The 22,010-nt window shown below is 43.4% G+C and overlaps 1 protein-coding gene across 2 annotated transcripts in view; it reads right to left on the bottom strand.

Annotated features, from left to right (window-relative positions):
• Positions 1-22,010, bottom strand: part of DLGAP2 (DLG associated protein 2) — a 970,849-nt gene that overhangs the window by 868,843 nt on the left and 79,996 nt on the right. The window contains exon 2 of one of the 2 annotated variants that reach the window (NR_073397.2): positions 17,441-17,542. The exons of the other annotated variant lie outside the window; for it this stretch is intronic. The gene's annotated coding sequence lies outside the window, so the exon portion shown is untranslated. The remainder of the gene's footprint in view (positions 1-17,440; positions 17,543-22,010) is intronic. 2 annotated transcript variants of the gene reach the window in all.

Here is a 22,010-nt window from a genome sequence, read left to right as displayed (position 1 = left end):
GTGGTGATTCATCTCACAACCAAACTTCTGTACCCTTTGGCCAGACTCTTCCCATCCATCCTAAGACCAGGCCTGGGAACCACCATGGTACTCTCTGCTTCTGTGAGCTCAATGTTTTAGATTCCACATATAAGTGAGCACAGGTGGCATTTGTCTTTCTGCGCCTGGCTTATTTCGCTCAGCATAAAGTCCTCCAGATTCCTCCAAATGACAGAAATGTCTTTGTCTTTTTAAAGGCTCAATAGTATTCCATTGTGCATCTATATCAGCACATTTTATCCATTCACCTGTTGTTAGACATCTAGAATGATTCTATATCTTGGCTACTATAAATAATGCTGCAGTGAACATAGGAATGCAGACATCTCAACACACTGAGTGCAATTCCTTTGGATTTGTGCCAAGAAGTGGGACGGCTGGATCACATGGTAGTTCTATTTCTATTTTTTTTAGGAACCTGCATACTGTTTTCATAATTGCTACTCTAATTTACATTCCCACCAACAGAGCACTAGGGTTCCCTTTTCTCCCCCTCCTCACCAACACTTGTTTTCTTTTGGTTTTCAGTAACAGCCATCCTAACAGGTGTGAGGTGATATCCCACTGTGGTCATATGTGGCTTTTCCTGATTTAACAAAATAACAGGTAACCTCACTGATGAGAATTTTGAGCATCTAATCACTGTGATGAACTTCTGCTTACAGATTTGCTAAAGGCAGCACCTCGCCATTTCAGATGCTGTTTGTCATAACCACAGACATGCTCTCGCTCCCCAGGAAGTCACCAGCAGGGGAATCACAGTCCAGCTTTAATTAATTGCCTTTACTTCTTTCTGCCGTCAGCCATGATGTGCAAGCAAGAAGGCTCTTTTTCTCTCATTAAAGAAAGTTCTTCATTACTTGTTCTTTTGAGTCTTAAGGGATCCCTGTTTGCAGTAAAAGAAGTTTAATTGCATTAACATGACAATATAGTCAGGAGTAAAAAAAAAATGTACAAGAGCTTTTCCCTTTTTTTGGTGTCCCTGAGCACTTGTCCAAGCTAGAAAGGGAAATCCACTGGATCTATAATTAATATTTTTTATTTTAAAGCTTATCAAACAATGTATATTATGGATTAATTGAAATTCCTGAAGACCCATATATTATCAATGTACAGTAGTGGTTCACAACCCTGGCTGTACAATGAAATTTTTCAGGGAGCACTAAAAATAAAATTAAAATAAAATAAAATATAATAAAAAAATAAAATACTGATGCCAAGACCACATCCCAGAACAAGTGAATAAGGATTTGTGTGAATGGAGTAGCTGATTTCTCTTAGGTTTTAACCATGAGATTCCTAAACACAATGAAGTCGTTATGCTGAAAGAGGAAAAGGTTCTGACCACTTTTCATTTTAAAAACATTAAGAACTTAAAAGGAACAAAGGGAGGGGAAAGACAAGAAGTACGATGCCAGCATCCCTTAAATTATTGTAAAGTATGTTTAGGACATCATCAGGAGTCTGCATAAATTTAATTCAATTTCCACCATCGTCCACACTACAGGATCCACACAGAGTAGCTAATTTAACATTTGTTTACCAAATATTAATATATATAAATTTCAGGCTGGGCACAGTGGCTCACGCCTGTAACCCCAGCACTTTGGGAGGCCAAGGCAGGCAGATCACTTGAGCTCAGGAGCAGCCTGGCCAACATGGCGAAACCCCCTCTCTACTTAAAAAAGAAAAAAAAAAAAACAAAAAACAACTAGCCGGGCGTGGTGATGCATGCCTGTAATCCCAGCTACTCAGGAGGATGAGGCAGGAGAATTGCTTGAACCCGGGAGGCAGAAGTTGCAGTGAGCTGAGATCGCACCACTGCACTCCAGCCTGGGCAACAGAGTGAGACTCCGTCTAAAAAAAAAATTATATATTTTATATATATTTATATATACATATTATATACACACACACACACACACACACATACACACAAACAAATTTCTACAAGGCGCCCAACACAGCAGCCAGCCTGGGAAGCCAGGATGGACCAGAGACCGCTGCCTGCGGCCTGAGCACGGCCTTAGGTCAGGCAGGCAAATAAAAACACGTCTGCACCGCTACTTACTAAACTAGGGATGGTGATGAACACGCTATAAAAATGTTGAAAAGAAGGATTCTGAGAAATAATTTTTTAACATTACATTCTCTAGTATTCTCATCGTGCTTCAGTTTGGAGTCTTGGTCAAAACTGGTGTTTAATAAATTCAATGAAACATTTATTATGAGTCAGGAACCACGAAAAGTGGCTGGAACACAAAGATGAATGACACACTCCTTATCCACAAGGTGCGGCCCCTTCTTCTGCAGGCTGCACAGGTCCGAGGACTGGCCAGGCTGCCTCGAACACCAGGCCGAGCTCATGCCAGCAGCACTGGGCACACGGCCCGCGAGATCCCGAGGCCTGAGCGCATCCGCTCCCGGGATCCCCGCCAGGAGGAAGGCGCTGCCACCCACGTGTCACAGATGGGAACATGGAGATGCTGGGGGTAGCGCCCTAACCCTGACCAGGAGATGGGACGTGGTCGAGATAGGACTCGAACCCCGGGAATCTGGCTCCAGAATCTGTGTTTCTAACCATGACATTATCTAGCCAAGTAAGAGAAGAACATTGTTTTCCTACCACAGAATGTTAGGGTGGGATCTGCTAAGGAGAACAGCAGCAGGTGTGTGCATGTGCGCTGGCAGAGACACGCGAGGAGAGGCAGAACGGAAGCAAAACATGAAAGGAGACGAGCGCAGAGTCTGGTATGGTCCTTCGGTAAAGTGATGAGGGAAACAAAAGATCTCCGTTAGATGCCATCTTTAAATAAGCAGCTTGTTAACGTGGTGTTCACATGAAACGCCCTCGTCTCCTTAGCAACGCGGCCCTGGCCCCAGCAGGGCCCTCTCTCCAAAGCCCTTCCAGGGTCAAAGGGCAGCGCCTGTAGGCCGGGGAAACGGAAGTAGGAGCACCCCAACCCCACCCCCTGCCCACAGGCCGCGTTCTCCAGCTCGGGCTTTATTCCCACAAGACGCTGGCCTGCAGAGGGTCACCCCGGCAGAACCTCAGCCTTGTGTGCCCCCGCACCTGCCAGGCCTCGAACGCTTGCCAGGAGATCTCAGGAGCCTGGCACACAGGAGCCCTCGGACCCCATCCCTGCCAGGGCGCCTGCAGGACCTACAGAGCATCGCCCCATCCAGTGCCTCTTCCCGGACAAGGCCCAGCGCCCCAAGACCTGCTATCCCACGGACGCCCGCAAGGCAGGGCCCAGGACCAAGCCGATATCTTCTCACCCGATGGCTGCACAGCGTCTACTCCACAGGAAAGAACATGGACGGGGACAGTCATCTCCCGCCCGAGCCTTGCGGGGCACTGGAAGCAGGAGGCGGCCGGGGCTTTCCGGCCGAGTCCCCGGCCCGCAGCTGCATTCTCCAGCTTTTCCTGACACTGCAGGATTCGGTGTCTAAATTTAAGACCAGAGAAAAAGCGTTCAGGAACAACACAGCTGTTGCGCCGCCGCTGTGCTCCATGGCTGCGGGTGTCCTTTACATCTCGGCATTTATTCTGAGTTAAGTGCGGATCCATTCACACTCATGGACAAAAAGTCTTCCAAGGAAGGAACGTGTCTTACACCCAAAAATGACCAAACCTGTGAGAAAAGGTCTGCGTTTGATACATGAAGGGATGGATACACAAACATCACAGTTACGGCAGCGTAACAGGAAAGCAGTTCTGAGACAGCGACGGTGAGCCTGGACCCACACGAAAGAACGTGCCACAGACCGGCTGGTACGGGGAGAAAGCATTAACTCCAGAGAAGGGAAAGCCTGAATTAACTGTAAATTAACAGCCATAAATACTCTTTAATAACTAAGTATTTCAGACATTTGGTGACGCAGCCTAGCACAGAGAAAAGCATTTAATTCCAAGTTCACAGGTAGCAAACCTGAAGTTCAGGAAGAGAACTCGTTTTAAGAGTGCCTCAAAACCTGCACTGCGGAGAGAAGCCCTGTCAGCAGGGCCAGCCACAAACGAACCCCCGGACACAGGAGCACGGGGGACCACGGACTACAAAGCCACCACCAAAACCCTGAAATGTCAAGATGGGAGAGGAGGATGGAGAGAGGGGTGGGGTGGGGAGCATTCTAGGGGGCGGCGTGGAGCACAGTGGGGAATCTAAAACAGGGCCTGGCCTGGGAGCGATGTCGTCACGTTTTGATTTTTCACTTCATTTCTCCCAATGTCTCTGGAGAAAGCCACTTCAAACCCCAAATGTTGGCTTACTAGATTTTGGAAGCAGATAATATTTGAATAGAAGTGGGTAATATTTCAAGAATATAAAGAGAAACATATATTTAAAAGTAAATGTTTTAAATGGCAGGCAATATTTCAAATAAAGTTTTATTCCTCACTACTCAGTTGTTTGGTGAATTCAATTCAGTGCATAGTACCAGACGAGGAGCATTAACTCCATCCATATGAAAGCAGCCCCCCCTCCACAAACACCCATGCACATTAACACACGTGCACACCAATGTACATGCACACTAACACGTGCACACATGTGAGCAGTAACCTGCATGCACCTGTGCACCCCAACATAATGTAGACATGTGCACACTAACATACATGCACACACAGAGACAGGCACACATACACACATGACACAATGTGACAGCCTTGCTTGGGTTAATGAAGTCTCATTCTAGAAAGTTTGTTTTTGTTTTTATTTTTAAACGATTTCAACCTTTATTGTAGGTTCACAGTTACATGTGCAGGTTTGTTACATGGATATACTGCATGAGGCTGAGGTTTGGGGTACAAATGATCCTGACATCCAGGTACTAAGCATAGTACCCAATAGGATCCTGTCACTCAGGTACTGAGTGTAGTACCCAATAGGGCATAGCACCCACTTGACCCCCTCCTCCCTAACAACAAGGAGGAGGTCCAGGACTGCATTTCCCAGAAGGTTTCCTTTTCTTGCACTGATTTGGTCAAGGAAGACAGAGTGTTTTAAAGGTAGAAAGATCTAACCACTCTTAAAACAATCACAAGTTAAAGTGCAGGTAGGTGGAAGACAGCAATGAGATTTGCACTTAATGTTTAAGCTGAATAGCACTAATTCTGTTTATCAAAAATGTCCTGAATGATGTGCTTGTGGCACTGAGGAACGCAGGCGCATGCGTCGGCCTGCATTTGCTCAGAGCCTATTATGAACTTCATGGAACTATAATGGCTTAAACTTCTCAGCTTGTCTTTATGTCTGGCTCATATTTTGCCATGTTAAAGCCCACAAATTAAAACAGCCACACGCTGGCATACAGGACTGGCTCTGCCCCACGTGAGGGGCAGGGGCGTATGGGGTCACAAAAGCCAGCACTGCTCTACTGGGACTCGTCAGCCCATGGTCTACTCCTCCGCTTCTTCCATGAGTGGAGACACAAAATGACTGAATAGGATCGCATCCTGAGACGAGCTTGCTGTACTAGGCAACGCTGAGTTGCCTGGGAACGTGATTCAGCCCTGGTTTCTGCTTCCCCTAATGAATCCCACTCCTTGGTTACTGATTGAATTGGGCAACGTCTCCAGGCCTCTTTGTGTCCCACACAAGGGCGAGCCCACTGCACCAATGAAAAGGCACGAATTCTCGTCCCACTGAGGAGCCACCAGCTCCATAAATAATTTTTTTCTTTTTTACCACTTTGAAAATGGCAAAGAGGATAATCCAACCTGTCATGTTCTGAGATAAAAGATGAAAAACTTCCTTTGCAACTATTTTCCCAGGAAATACAGAAATTTTGTCTAAATTCATGGTAAAAAATCTCTAAAGATGAAAGGTATGCATACATTTAAATAAAAAACAAGTCCTCTGGCAGCAGAATAATGACCCCCAAAGAAGTCTACACTGTGATCTTCAGAAGCTGAGAACTGGTGACCTCACGTGGCAGAGGGACTTTGCAAAGGGGAGAAGCCGAGGGTCCTGAGATGAGACAGGGGTGATCCTGGACTAGCCATGGCCCACTCTAATCACAAGAATCCTTAAGCCAGAGAACCTTGAGCCAGAGATGCAGCATCAGAGACACCCCCACCCCACCCTCTGCTGCTGGCTTTGCAGATGGAGGTGGGGCCACAAGCCAAGGCAGGCAGGACCCTCCAAAGCTGGGAAACGCTGAGAAACAGGTCCCCCCAGAACCTCAAGAGGAGCTGGCCTGGCTGACACCCGGATTTTAGCCCAGCAAGACTCCTGTTGGACTTCCGACCTCCAGAACTCTAAGATAATAAATGTGTATGGTTTAAGCCAAGAAGTGTGTGGTAATTTGTTACAGCAAAAAGCCTGAATTCTCTCAGGAAATGGGTACTGGAGTGCTGACTCCCCCAGTGCGCCTTCCCAAAGTCTTAGGAATAATTGGGTGATGTCACCACTACTCTGACAGAGCTCTCAGACATCGGCCTTAATCATATGTCTGCCATTTTTTAGAAACACTGTGAACACAGCATGAAGACAGGTAAGCCCTGTATCAACCCCAGTGCTGCTCATGGGGATGATGGGAGGATGTAGTGCTTGTCACAGATGTTTACTGGGTTTGCACCTTCATCTACATGAATTTGAAATCCAGATCAGTGTGCTGTGTGAGAAACCAGAGTTGTGAGAGAAACGAGGGGCCCTGTAGCCATCATCCCATTACAAAGAACTGACTCCCAAGAGGAAGAGCCCACCCCATGTCCATACACCCCGTGCCATCTCTCTCCTCCTAGTTGATCCCACAGTGTCTTCGCTGCTCAGCTCCCACCCAAGGCTGAGCACAGTCTCCTGTCAGGGACCAGCAGAGGCTCTCAGCATGTGCTGCCTACTGCAGCTGACATTCTTACACAAACACAGTTGTGCTCACTTCCTCCACAGGCACTCTGAAAAGGGAAATAAAGCTTTAACATAAGTGTTTATCAAAAAAATCAGTGCAAAAGAAAAGTGACAGGCAGATATCCCATGACCACAATTAACATTTTCCCAAAATACAAAGATAATCTGACATTAGAAAACTTTAATAGTATCACTTCTCAGTAAATACAACAGTGGATTCACCAATCAGACGCAGAGACAAGCAGAGCCTTGACTTACAGATACACCTAAATGAATCCAGAAGAATGCAGGCAATGACTGTAAACAATAAAATTAAAATGTCACAGCTGGAAACTGGATCACTTCCTTACACCTTATATAAAAATTAATTCAAGATGGATTAAAGATTTAAATGTTAGACCTAAAACCATAAAAACCCTAGAAGAAAACCTAGGCAGTACCATTCAGGACTTAGGCATGGGCAAGGACGTCATGACTAAAACACCAAAAGCAATGGCAACAAAAGCCAAAACAGACAAATGGGATCTAATTAAACTAAAGAACTTCTGCACAGCAAAAGAAACTACCAACAGAGTGAAAAGGCAACCTACAGAATGTGAGAAAACTTTTGCAATCTACCCATCTGACAAAGGTCTAATATCCAGAATTTACAAGGAACTTAAACAAATTTTACAAGAAAAAAACAAACAACCCCATCAAAAAGTGGGCAAAGGACATGAACAGACACTTCTCAAAAGAAGACATTTATGCAATCAACAAACATATGAAAAAAAGCTCATCATCACTGATTAGAGAACTGCAAATCAAAATCACAATGAGATACCATCTCACGCCAGTCAGCATGGTGATTATTAAAAAGTCTGGAAACAACAGATGTGGGCGAGGCTGTGGAGAAATAGGAACACTTTTACACTGTTGGTGGGAATGTAAATTAGTTCAACCATTGTGAAAGACAGTGTGGCCATTCCTAAGGATCTAGAACTAGAAATACCATTTGACCCAGTGATCTAATTACTGGGTATATACCCAAAGGATTATAAATCATACTACTATAAAGACACATGCACATGTATGTTTACTGTGGCACTATTAACAATAGCAAAGACTTGGAACCAACCCAAATGTCCATCAATGATAGACTAGATTAAGAAAATGTGGCACATATACACCATGGAATATTATGCAGCCATTAAAAAGGATGAGTTCACGTCCTTTGCAGGGACATGGATGAAGCTGGAAACCATCATTCTCAGCAAACTATCACAAGGACAGAAAACCAAACACCACATGTTCTCACTCATAGGTAGGAATTGAACAATGAGAACACCTGGACACAGGGCAGGGAACATCACACACTGGGGCCTGTTGCGGGATGGGGGGCTGGGGTAGGGATAGCATTAGGAGAAATACCTAATGTAAATGACGAGTTGATGGGTGCAGCAAACCAACATGGCACATGTATATACCTATGTAACAAACCTGCATGTTGTGCACATGCATCCTAGAACTTAAAGTATTAAAAAAAAAAAAAAAAAAAAAGTGACTGCTGGACCGGGCGTGGTGACTCATGCTTGTAATCCCAGCACTTTGGGAGGCCAAGGCCAGCAGATCACCTGATGTCAGGAGTTCAAGACCAGCCTGGCCAACATGGTGAAACCCTGTCTTTACTAAAAGTACAAAAAAATTAGCCAGGTATGGTGGCCCATGCCTGTAATGCCAGCTACTTGGGAGGCTGAGGCAGGAGAATCGCTTGAACTCGGGAGGCAAAGGTTGCAGTGAGCTGAGATTGTGCCACTGCCCTCCAGCCTGGGTGACAGAACAAGACTTCATCTCAAAAAAAAAAAAAAAAAAAGTCACAGCTGAATGTTTACATAGGGTTTGTTGGCAAAGAAAGGCTTTTAAAGTAAGGCACCAAAGTCAGAAATTTTACTTCTTACATATGAAACAAAATAACTCAAATGGCAACATGAGAAACAAAAATACTTGAATTGTAAATATAGGAAAAAGGGTTAATACCTTGTTTTGATTTCAAAAGAATAAAATAAACATCGTAGTAATATTGAAATGAGAAAATAGACCATGCAATGCATGCACCAAAAAGAAAAAAAGATGGAAAACAAGGAAGAAACATACTCAGTAGCACCCGTAACTTAAATAAATAGAATCGCAAATTACGTATGATCTGCCAAACCAAGAACTATACCAAGAATTTAAAAGCAAATGTTAAAAATTAAAACAACCTAACTCACGGAGATAGAGAGTAGAATGATGGCTCCAGTGGCTGGGAAGGGTCATGGGGCTTGGAAGTAAGTGGGGATGGTTAGTGGGTCCAAAAAAATGGAAAGAATGAATAAGATCTAATATTTGACAGCATAACAGGAGTGACTATAGTTTAATAATGTAATTGTACATTTTTAAATATCTAAAAGGGTATAATTGGATTGTTTGTAACAAAAAGGATAAATGCTTGAGGGGATGGATACCCCACTGACCCTGATGTGATTATTACACATTGCATGCCTGTATCAAAATGTCTCATGTACGTCATAAATATATACATCTACTATGTACCCACAAAAATTAAAACTTAAAAAATTAAATAAAAAGCAAATGTTACATGTATAATATTGGTGAGAGGGCAGATAGGTACATTTGCCTAGAACTATATTAAAACTTTACAATGAAGATCTTTAAAAATCTCCACATCTTTTGAAATATTTTAAGTCCAAAGAGCTATTCCAAGGAAATAATTAAGTACTCAAATAGAGGTAATTTATCCAAGCATTATTTATATCACTGGAGAATTGAACATTGTTGTCAATAACAAGAGACTGGTACATAAACTGAGGTGTGCGCATGTAATGGGGAACCTCATGGCTATGAACACATTTTGAATATTTGATTGACAAGGAAAGCACCATAATATACTGCAGTTATTATAATAGGCACAAGATATCAATTTTCGTTAATATAAATTATGAACCTATATGTGACTACGAACATAGAAAATATGGAAAGTAAACCAAAATGTCAATAACAACCATCTCTGAACCTTTCAACTTTTCTTCATTTTGTTTGTTAATTTTTCTATGGTAAGACATATGGCTTACATAGTTTGAAAAAAGAAATAACTGACAAAATAATTTATAGTTTTCACGATTTCTAGAAGCAAAGCTCTGAATAAGATTGAAGGTCCTTTTTACCTTTATGATGTGTATACTTACTTTTAAATAATAAACTTATTTCCTAACTTGTTGAACTAAAAAAACTTAGAATTCTTTACTTATAAATAAACACGATGGGTATTCATCATCCCATACCCAGAAGGCCTGGTAATAAGACAAGTGTTCTCTTTCCTTGAGAAACAGAGAGACCTCGGGGCATTTGTCACCTTCATGGGTGATGAAATGGGACAGGTGGAACAAACTTCATCAGGGTCAGAAAAGAGACTGACAAATCTGAACTAGAACTTGGTTTCCAACAGCCAGGCAAATATTGATTATTTTTACACATTCTGCCTCCACTTTATTTTGTAACATTAGAAACTGGATTCCTTACCAATGTAACAGGCAATGTCAGTTATCTCATAGTGTTCTTGCTAGTTAAGGGAGAAATGGAAGAAAACACTAGGGATTTCTCCTGGTTTAGCCTCATAAACAATGAAACCAAATTGGACTCATGGGTTTAATTTAAAAAAATCAGGTTTGTCAAAGCTAAACACACTTTAAAAAATTAGAAGCCATTCCCAAACCCTAACTAAAAGCCAGTGATTCATTACCCAGTAGAAATAAAAAATAATATGTTTTAATACAGAGTTGCTTCTTGGAACATGAATCCATTACATATAGACCCTGAGAATAATAAATTGTTGTGGGAAGTCAGGGACCCCAAACGGAGGGACCGGCTGAAGCCATGGCAGAAGAACGTGGATTGTGAAGATTTTATGGACATTCATTAGTTCCCCAAATTAATACTTTTGTAATTTCTTATGCCTGTCTTTACTGCAGTCTCTAAACATAAATTGTAAAGATTTCATGGACACTTATCACTTCCCCAATCAGTACCCTTGTGATTTCCTATGCCTGTCTTTACTTTAATCTCTTAATCCTGTCAGCCGAGAAGGATGCATATCGTCTCAGGACCCTGTAATAATTGCATTAACTGCACAAATTGTACAGCATGTGTGTTTGAGCAATATGAAATGTGGGCACCCTGAAAAAAGAACAGGATGACAGCAATTGTTCAGGGAATAAGAGAGATAACCTTAAACTCTGACCACCGGTGAGCTGGGCGGAACAGAGCCATATTTCTCTTCTTTCAAAAGCAAATGGGAGAAATATCGCTGAATTCCTTTTCTCAGCATGGAAGGTCCCTGAGAAAGAGAATGTGCACCTAGGGGTAGGTCTCTGAACTGGCCCCCCCGGGGCGTACCTGTCTCTTATGGTCGAGATTGCAGAGGTGAAATAAACTCCAGTCTCCCATAGCGCTCCCAGGCTTATTAGGAAGAGGAAATTCCTGCCTAATAAATTTTGGTCAGACTGGTTGATCTCAAAACCCTGTCTCCTGATAAGATGTTATCAATGACAGTGGTGCCCAAAACTTCATTAGCAATTTTAATTTCGCTTCGGTCCTGTGGTCCTGTGATCTCGCCGTGCCTCCACTTGCCTTGTGATATTCTATTACCCTGTTAAGTACTTGATGTCTGTCACCCACACCTATTCATATACTCCCTCCCCTTTTGAAAATCCCTAATAAAGACTTGCTGGTTTTTGTGGCTTGTGGGGCATCACGGATCCTACCAATGTGTGATGTCTCCCCCGGACACCCAGCTTTAAAATTTCTCTCTTTTGTACTCTGTCCTTTTATTTCTCAAGCCAGCCGACGCTTAGGAAAATAGAAAAGAACCTACGTGATTATCGGGGCAGGTCCCCCGATAATAAATGTGTCCTCAGTTTCTTTTCCACATAGTCTTTGTCTCTGAGCAACATAGATCTATTCAGTTACCTGGACAAAAGAGAATTTTCTTTTGCAAAATAAATTAGATTTCTACATTCAGAATTATTGTGGGTTGACCCAGAAGTAATGCTAAGAATTCATGCTATCATTTATCTTATTTCAAATGAGACAAAATATCAAAATGCAGTCGTTCTTATGCTTGTCTAAGCACAACAGAAATGTAAATACTGTTCTAAGTTCTGCATGAAGATTGCAATTGCAATAATTACTGAAGAAAGCGTTATACACGTAATTATTTACACTGAACTATCATATCATTGAAATAACCGTTTGAGTAAGTTCAGTGGGTTGTCTCAAAGACATGTGATTGTTATTCCTGAAAGTCCAAATGTGTATTTTAAAAATAATCCATTTAAATGAATTTGCATGCAAGTCTGCTACCATTCAATGCCCTAAGAACACCCATGAAAAATCCTCACATTGAAGACAAACAGTTCTATATCAAGGTTATATTATCTCCTTCTCCTTCTTATTCACACTCCAGGAGATACCTAAGTTTTATAGGTTAGGTAATACAAATGAAGCCTTTTTCAGCATTTTGGTCTGGATGATTCTTGGCTGTGGCGCTGTCCAGGCACTGTAGGCTGCTCTGTGGCATCCCCCACCATGACCCATCAGATGCTGGAAGTAAACGCCCTCCAACTGTGTGACCAAAAATGTCTCCCCATATTGCCAAATGTCCCCGGGGACAAAACTGCCCCCATTTGAGAACCACTGCCATAAGGGGAAACAGCAAACATCTCCATGGATATGGGGTAAGCCCTTCTGTAGTTCTGAAACACCTCCTCTAGTGAGAGAGAATGGAAAGACTGGATGTTTCTACAAAAACATTCACGAGAAAGACTGGTGCGAGGCTGGAAAATGAGCACACCCCTAAGCTTCTCTCTCCTTCCTCAAATCCACATAAATGACAAAGGTCTAAGAAGAAATCCCAAACGTAGCTGGGACACAGGAACACGTAGGCCACCAAAGAAACACAGCACTGAGGTCCCTCGAGCAGCAGAAGAGACAAGTCAGCATGACCGAGTGAAGCACAGACGGGCAGAGAAGGCTGCGAGAGGGGGCGCGGGACCCTCGAGACACCAGGCTGCAGCCACAGGCAGAAGGCAGGGCTCCCAGCTAATTCTGCTCAGCAAAACAACTACTTCCCAAGAATGTCACAGAAACACAAAATACCCAGCACCCAAAAAGGTGAAAATTCACAGGGAAATTCTGTAACACTAAATGCCTGTGGGGAAAAAGTCTCACATCGCTGACCTCAGCTTTGACCTTCAAAAAACCTGAAAAAGAAGAGCAAATTAAAACCAAAGTGAATGAAAGGAAGGAAATAATAAAGACCAAGACAGACATGAGTGAAGCAGGGAACATAAACACAACAATGAAAATCAATAAAACCAAGCCAAAAGGAAGGAAATCAGGACATCAAAGAGGTATCTGCATGCCCATGTTGACTGCAGCTCTGTTTACAACAGCCAAGATCTGGAATCCACCTAAGTGTCCGTCCACAGACAAATGGATAAAGAAAATGTGGTGCACATACACAGTGGAGAACTATGCAGCCATAAAAAAGAATGAGATCCTGTCATTTGCAACAATATTGATGGAACTGGAGTTGATTGTGTTATGTGAAATAAGCTGGGCACAGAAAGATAAACACAGCATGTTCTCAATTATTTGTGGGAGCAAAAATTACAACCCTGAACTCATGCAAATAGAGAAGAAGTACGGTTCCCAGGGTAGTGGAGGGTAAGAAAGGCTGGTTAATGCGTATAAAAATATAGTCAGATAGAATGAATACAATCTAGTATTTGATGCCACATCAGGGTGACTACAGTCAACAACTTCTTGTATGTTCTAAAATAACTAAAAGAGTATAATTGATTGTGTATAACACAAAGTAAAGATAAGTGCTTGAGGTGACAGATACCTTTTTCATCCTGATGTGATTATTTTGAAGTGCATGCCTGTATCAAAATATCCCAAGTAGCCCATAAATAAATACACCTAATATGAACCCACAATAATTAAAAATTTTTAAAAAAGAAAATCAATGAGACCAAAATCTGGTTCATTGATAAAATCAATAAAATGGATAAACTTCAGACTGAAGAGGAAGAACAGCGAGAAGACCCAAATTAGCAACATCTGGAATGAGAGGGATGATGTCGTTAGAGATAATAAGGGAACAAGATGAACTTCATGCTAACAAAGTTTCTCAGTGGGTGGGGAATGCTTTGCCCACAGGACTTGGTGGTGCTGAAGACTGCCTGGCACTCACCGCTGGAAGGAAGTGCGGCTGCCTCCGGGCAGAGGCCAGCTTCTGTGGAACAGCCTCCACACCCAGGAAAGCCCACAACAGAGAACTCTCTGATCCCAAATCCTAACTGTGTGCCTGTTCATCCTAAAGGTGTACAGTTTCCCACAGAAAGCTCCACCCTCCCAAGGTAGAATCTAACAGCACAACCTGATCCAACAGCTGTGTGGCTGAACCACAGGTACTTGGTTCTCAGGCGTCCAGGGCATGTATGTATCCTGACAGCCGTACGGTAGCAGAGACCCTGCAGATGGTTCTGTGGGGTCATTTTGGGGACAGTGAGGGCAGAGGAAGAGCCCTCCTCTGGCAGGGTCTGCAGTGAGTTCTGGGGGATTTCTCAAGCCGGCTCCTGCAGGATGTGGTGCGTATCTTACTCGCACCTGGAGTCAACACAGGGTGCTGCTTGTCCTGCAGCCAGAAGACATCGCTCCAAAGACCGCCACGGAGGTGGGGCGGCCCCTCTCAAAATCTCTGTCTCCTATCCCCTGATGCCCTGTGGCTTCCATGGCCCCTCAGGGAGTGAGATGCCAGGGGACAATGCGGGGTGCTCCAGTGAATTGCGGCTGGAGGCTGAGCTGCCTGTGCCACCAAACCAGTGGGCAGAAAGGAAGTGGGTGTGACCACATCCCTGGGGTGCAGGAGAGCTTCTTTTGCTGCTGATGAGGGCAGCATGTCTGGATCCTGGGTCCTCTGAATCGCTAGCACTACCACACTTACCAGACAAAGCTTGCAGAGGATGGCAGTGACCCCAGTGAACCCAAACAGGCGGAACCACCAGGAGGTCAGCAGTCATCTTCACCAGAGGGGAAGCTCCCGGAGCCAGGACTGGGGCCAGGACAAGGGGAACACAGGTGGGGGTGGGGACAGGAGTCACGAATACTGGGTCCTCAAACCATAAAAGCTGCCCGTAACACTGCTGTGTCATGCAGATATTTATATAGGAAAAGTAAGCCAACGCGCTCCCTCATTTCCTGCAGGGAACCCTGGCAGCATCTAAATCAAGAGGGGCTGTGCTGAACCAGAGAAAGAAGAAGGAATGTGCCCGGGCATGGTGGGCTCACACCTGCAATCCCAGCACTGTGGGACGCCGAGACAAAGACATTGCTTGAGCCCAGGAGTGCAAGACCAGCCTGGGCAACATGGCAAAACCCCATCTCTACAAAAAAATACAAAAATTAGCCAGGCATGGTGGCAAGTACTTATAGGCCCAGCTACTCAGGAGGCTGAGATGGGAGGATCACCTGAGCCCAGGAGGTTGAGGCTGCAGTGAGCCATGATGGTACCACTGCATTCCAGCCTGAGTGACAGAGGGAGAAAAGAAGAAGAAAGAAAGAAGAAGGAAAAAGGAAGAGGAGGAAGAAGAAGAAAAAAAAGAAGAAGAAAAAAAAGAAGAAGAAATGTTGTCCCAGGATCCTTTCGGAGTTAGGGGACGTGACAAATGTGATTGCAACTTCCCCTTTGGGATAAAGCTAAGTGGGGTTCCATCGTATAAGGGATAGCTGTGTGTCACGGGCGCTGCCACTGTCATCGCACAACAAGAGAACGAGAGGACAGCCCGGGTGGATGGACCCAGGCCGCAGACTCTTGACCTCCCCCGTCCTGGCTGCCCCGGGCTCCCGAATGGCCTCCCTGCACTTCTGACAGCTCCCCGTGCTGCGAATGACCACTTCCCAAAGTGCAAGACAAAACGACGACAAACATCAACAACAAAAACATTTCGATCAACATCTCTGGCAGCTGGAGGCAGGCGCCACAGCTATATCCTGACACCCACACATCCCTGCTGGGGTGCGTGTCCCAGGAAGGGGTCTGTGCAGAGCTCTTGGGGGTCTCCTGCTGAGCCCCGTGCTGCTGGAGCTGACGGAAGTCAAGGGTCTCTGGGATGCCTGATTTCTTTTTTAACAAGTTATCTTCTGCTTAAACACACCAGAGTGAGTCTTTTCTTTGCAATTAAGCACCCTAACTAATTCACAGTACAAATAAGCAATTGCCCCTTGCTAGTTACAGGGAGTTTCAATGGAGAGTTGACAAGCGTACTGTGAACTGTCTTTTCTGATCAGGGGGAAAGCAGATATCAATAATAATAATAATAATAATAATAATAATGAATTCAAGCTCGCCTTACAACTCCTCAGAAGCTGTACACAGAGCTCCCGAAATGCCAGAACAAGAGCTGCCTGTTCCTGAGGTGGCAACTTGGTCTGGCAGCCTGAAGTCAACACCATCTTCTGAGGCCACCAAGTGGGTAGAGAAAGTATCGGAACTCTGAGCCAGAACGTGTGAAGCTGCCACCAAGTGAGACGTAAAAGAAGGAAAGAAACAGAAGGAGATGACAGGCAGTGGCAGCAACATGGCCCCCCCTGAAATTTAGACCTTTCCATCAGTGCAAAGCACCTCTGGAATAAGAAATAAGAAATAATCCTCTCTTCCCTTTGACAAATCTCGTGAAATGCCGTCTCCGTGACTGTTTGCTTCACCCACTGGCACTGGGGCAGGTAAACTGACAAAACCCTCCTCTCCAATCTGCTCTTTGTGGGTCTGGGGACTGCAGGAGGTGGGCATGGCCCTCTGGACAGTCCCTGAAGCACCCAGCAGTGGTCACTGTGGCGTCCACAGCCCCAGGATGCTGTTGTCCGAAGGCTGTGTCCCATCTCACCACGCCCAGGCCTGTGGACATGCACTCCTGCTTCCCCACACACCACCAGCTTCCACAGGAAAGCTCTTTGAAAGCCACTGGAAAACAGTTCAGACTGCTATTTGAAAAGCTCCATTCTGGCAGTATTTGGGGACAGTTTGCAGTCACACGTACACTTGGTGAATGCACAGATTCATTCGGAGCACACGCAGTGACGTGGCCCTGCTCCTACTCTCTGTCAGGCCTCCCGAATTTCTCAACATTCTCTCACCACTGCCAATGATAACAGCAGAAACACTGTGCGCATGAGAAGTTTTTAAACACAGCTCTGTTTGAACAGAGAAACATCCAGCTGAAGCTGTGGACAGTGTCCGCAGCCTCTCCTGCTTCTGCCCCAGGAACACTCACCCCCGGCCTTACCATACCCGGCTGCCTGTTTCCTTCCAGGTAGCCTGAGCCTGGCCAGGCCCCCGTCACCCCTGTGCCCCTCCCCGGGTGGAGCACCCATCACAGCAGGAAGTAAGCAAATGCTGGGTAAGGACCGCAAGACGGACACACACAGGAAGCAAGAGCAAGATCACACTGTACCTGAGCAGTCCCCATTGTGGCTGGGCTGGGCGCAGGCAGAGGGTTAGCAGCCGCGAGGGAAGCCGCGCAGGGCTAGGGCCAAGCCTCGGATGGCGAGAAAGCCTAGGTGAGGAATGGATAGAGATGGGGAAAATGTGATAAAAAGGGTAAATAACCTCCCCTATGGGGAAAAAAATGGAATGTACATTAAAAAGTGAGACTAAGCAATAATTAATCAGCTGAAAAGAGCAATATGGCAAGAAGAAGTAGGCACAGAAACTGTATATAAAAATCACCACCAACTGTTTGTAGACCAGACCGTGGAATGGCACGCTGTGTGCGTGGATCCAGGATGTATGAACATGGAAACTACTATTTCCATTCTAAAGCAGGATTTGAAATGATAATAATGTACATTTAACCATTTTGAAATATTGAACCAAAGAGAAATAATAAAACCATACTTTAAATCAGCAATTATGATGATTCCTTATATAATTTGATGAAAAATAGCTATCTGTGAAATTAGTCCAGTTCTGCAAAGAACCAAACAGATTCCAAGAAACAAACAACCAGTACCAGAGAATATTAATAATTGATCATTTTCTTTCCAGGAGACAAAAATGCTATGTACCCAGATGAAATTCAGTGTAGCATGTTTTTAAAAAGAAGGTGCTAATATATGTATTTTTGATAAATTACAAAATTCCCAGCTCATTTTTTCCATGGCATACTAATGCATGAAATTATTATTCCCCGCCAGAAATGAATCGGAGGAAGTACGAACACTTGTGTTTTTTTAAGGAGACTTATTAGGTTGATAAAGTTACACTGGAAAGATATGCCAGTCTTTTCTTCTCACTGAGCTGGTGATCGCAAAACACTCTCCTACATACACTTTATATAGCCTTAAAAACTATGATCATGTTATATTGACTTTCCTGAAGGTCAGGGCTGCTGAACATTGCCTGCTATCTGCTGAAACTTTGTTGTCACCAGAATCTCTGACCAAACATCTGTTTGATGATTAGTTAGTTAACGCCATGTAAATACTTTCAAATGTAAAATTCTAATAAGGTAAGAAAATTAGCTGACTTTTATTGTAGCAAGCACATTTGGGAAATATTCATTATAAAATAATAAACAAACTGAAAATCAACCGTTGGTTTCCTGTAAGCAGTTAACGTACATTTTATGTGACTGTCAGTCTAAATTGCCTATTCATTTCCAGGCACTTACTGTTCAACTCTCCACCGTTCTAGAATTCACATTCTGCTCTTCAAGACTTATCCACTTCCTATTAATATATTAACATTTCTCCATATCGGTACAGACAGAACTACATCTTCCTGGCCTGAAACAATCACAATTATTTTAGCCCCACAAATCCCTTACTCTTGAGTATTTAGGTTATCTCCAATTTTCCCATTTCCTAAGAATTCTGCATACATTTTTTAATGCTTCTCATTATGTGAGTTTATGCAGATAGGTTTCTAGACAGAATTACTGAGTCAAAGGATATGCACATGAGCCCAAAATGCTACTAAAACATTGGTTTCCATTTACATTGCCACATATCAACAATCTTCTTGCTTTTGCCTCTGGTGGAAAAAAATAGTTTCTCACTGTTTTCCTAGAGTCTGGGGACCTTTTAATGTGATTATTGAGCAAACAAATTTCTGTGTAAACTGTTTCTTAGTTTTTTTCTTTTGGGGGATAAATTTTTCATTGCTTTCGAGGAACTCTTTACATATGCCGGATGCTTATCTATTCTACACATTGCAAATGTTTTTTCAGTTTGTCATTTGCCTATTAGCCCCATTAATGATATCTTTCAACAGTTTAGAAGGGTTTCATATGCATGTGTCCAAATCTATCAGTTCCTTCCTTCACTGTTTCTGTGATTTAAAAGATCTTCCCAATTCCACAATTTAAAAAACATATTGTACTAAATTTTCTGTTAGACTTTCAGTAACTATCTTTAATGATTACATATTTAACATGTTTAAAACTTTGTTGTGTTGTGAGATGGAAATGAATTTTTTCTCCAATGGATAACCAGTTATCCCAACAAATTTACTGAAGAATCCATATTTTCCTGACTAACTTGAAAATGTTACCCACATAAAACAGTTTGTTCTACAGATTGATTTATCTCCTACAGCACTAGTGTGTTTCTCTTAGTAGACAAGAACTCTCATGGTTCATTTTTTTCTCTAACACATCTTATTGAACAATCTTGTGAATTTGTTCTTATAGGTTAACTTCATTACCACGTAATCCACTCCCCTATTCCCACTTTCATGACCAATCCAAACAGGAAAGGGTTCGCATGGAAATGATATAATCCACAGTCACCACTTCCATGAAGTGCCACATTTCCATGCCGAGTCAGCCACGCAAGCACCACTCCACACCAAGTACTTGATGATGTTTTACGTACCTCCCAGGTGTTTCATTGTTTTTCCTATAAATCTTACACATTCCTGTTTCATTCCAATATATTTTGTGAGGCTTATTCTTTCTGAGGATGCGCCTACTTTTCCACTACTCTGTCATGCACAGTACAGTTAATAATGTTCATTCATTGATCTCATATTTGTTCTCCATGCCCAACGTTACTAATTATCTTATGGATTTTGTATAGTCTTTATCATTTTCCAATGAAAATAAGTCTCTTGATTCCCAATATCTTTTCTCATATATTTTCCCAAGATAGTAGAGACTTCAGAAGAAATGGAATAATAGTAATGACTGTGGCATTGCCGCTTTGCTCCATACTTTAGCATTTTCCCACTTACTCCTGCACCTGTTGAGTTTCTGATCATATCTTGACCTGTTTCACGGAAGTTTCCTGCCATTTCTCTTTCACTTAGAATTTCTATCACAGATGGCTGCTATGTTGCTTAAAGGTCCTACGATATCTATTGATATAGTCATGAGGGGTTTTTTAAATATCCTTATCTTATGCATTACTACATAGGGATACTATTATTAAAATAACATTGCACTTATGAGGCAAAGCTTACGCTCATACTTAACATCGAACTAGATTCAACTGGCTAACATTTTGGGTAGCAAATTTATATATTCTTAAATAAGGTCAGCCCTTTTCTGTGATACTTATCAAATTCTGGATTCAGTCATTAAATGAGACTGATGCTTATTAGTCTGAGATAACATAAAATGATCATTTCCTAAAAGGTTTTAAAGAGTTTACCTATAAAATATCTGAGCCAGTTCCTCTTGTAAAAAGACATCTATGAAAATTTTTAGTTGTTCCATGGTTACTGCTCCATTAAATTTTTCTAAGTTTTGTTGAATCAATTTATATCATTTATAGTCACCAAGAAAACAAATCATTTATCTTGATTTTCAAATTTCTCAGCAAAAATTTCTACAGATCATCTTCTATTTCTTCTAACTTTATGATTCTATAACATTTTTCACTAACTGTATACTCTTGAATTTTCTCTTTATTTTCTTTATAAATCTTGCCACAAGTTTCCTATTCTCAGCACAGTTTGCACATGTTCTTTTAAACAGCAGAGAGGATTAAGATGACAGATAGGAGGCAGGACTAACTTGCAGCTCCCACTCGGATGTACAGAGCAGCATGTAGAGACTCACGTCATTAACTTTTGCCCCAAGAACTACGGCAGGAACATACTAGGAAAGCCAAGAGAATCCACAGACCCTTGGAAGGAACTAGATCAGTGCTGCAGGCTCCCTGAAATGCAGAAAAACCGTGAGTCTGTGCTTTCTCAATGGGGAGGTTCGTGGTTCAGGGAAAGTTCCAGGGAAAATTCTCAGGGGGTTACTGGCTGCCTGGAAATAGACTCGGTACTGTTGGTGGGGCACGGTGGGAGTTAGACCAACCTTTAGGACAGCGGGCTGCGTGGGAGTGGGGTGAGGTCTGTCACTGACAGCTTTCCCCCACTTCCCTAGCGACCTGTGTGACTCAGCAGAGGCAGCCATAATCCCCCTGGGAATATAACTTCATTGGCCTGGAAACCACATGTCCATCCCCCACAGCAGCTGCAGCCAGCCCCACCCAAGGAGAGTCTGAGCTCAGACATGCCTGTCCCTGCCCCTCACCTGGTGGTCTTTCTCTACCCACCCTGGTACCTGAAACAGAGGTCATAATATCTTGGGAGCTCTATGGCCCTGCCCACTGCCCGAGAAACCTGAATATTTAACCAGGTACACCCTAGGGCAAGTTTGCTTCCTCCCTATGGGACCACAGCTGATGCACTCTTGAAAGCACCACCTCCTGGCTGGAGGCCAACCATCACACTAAACAAAAACACAACCAAGGACCCTCACAGAGTCCATTTCATTCCCCTGCCCCCTCCGCCGGAGCAGGTGCTGGTATCCACATCTGCAAGACTTTAAGACAAAAATCACATCACAGGACTCTGCAGACACCCCCAGCACCAGCTCAGAGCCTAGTAGCTCCACCGGGTGGCTGGACCCAGAAGAGCAAAAACAATCACTACAGTTTGGTTCTCAGGAAGCCACATACCTAAGGGAAGGGGGAGAACACCACATCAAGGTAGCACCCCGTGGGAGAAAAGAGTCTGAACAGCAG

The sequence above is a fragment of the Homo sapiens genome, chromosome 8 (assembly GCF_000001405.40).
Source record: "Homo sapiens chromosome 8, GRCh38.p14 Primary Assembly".
Lineage (NCBI taxonomy): Eukaryota > Metazoa > Chordata > Mammalia > Primates > Hominidae > Homo > Homo sapiens.
The sequence above is the reverse complement of the archived record's forward strand: the minus strand, read 5'-3'. Positions and strand labels throughout refer to the sequence as shown.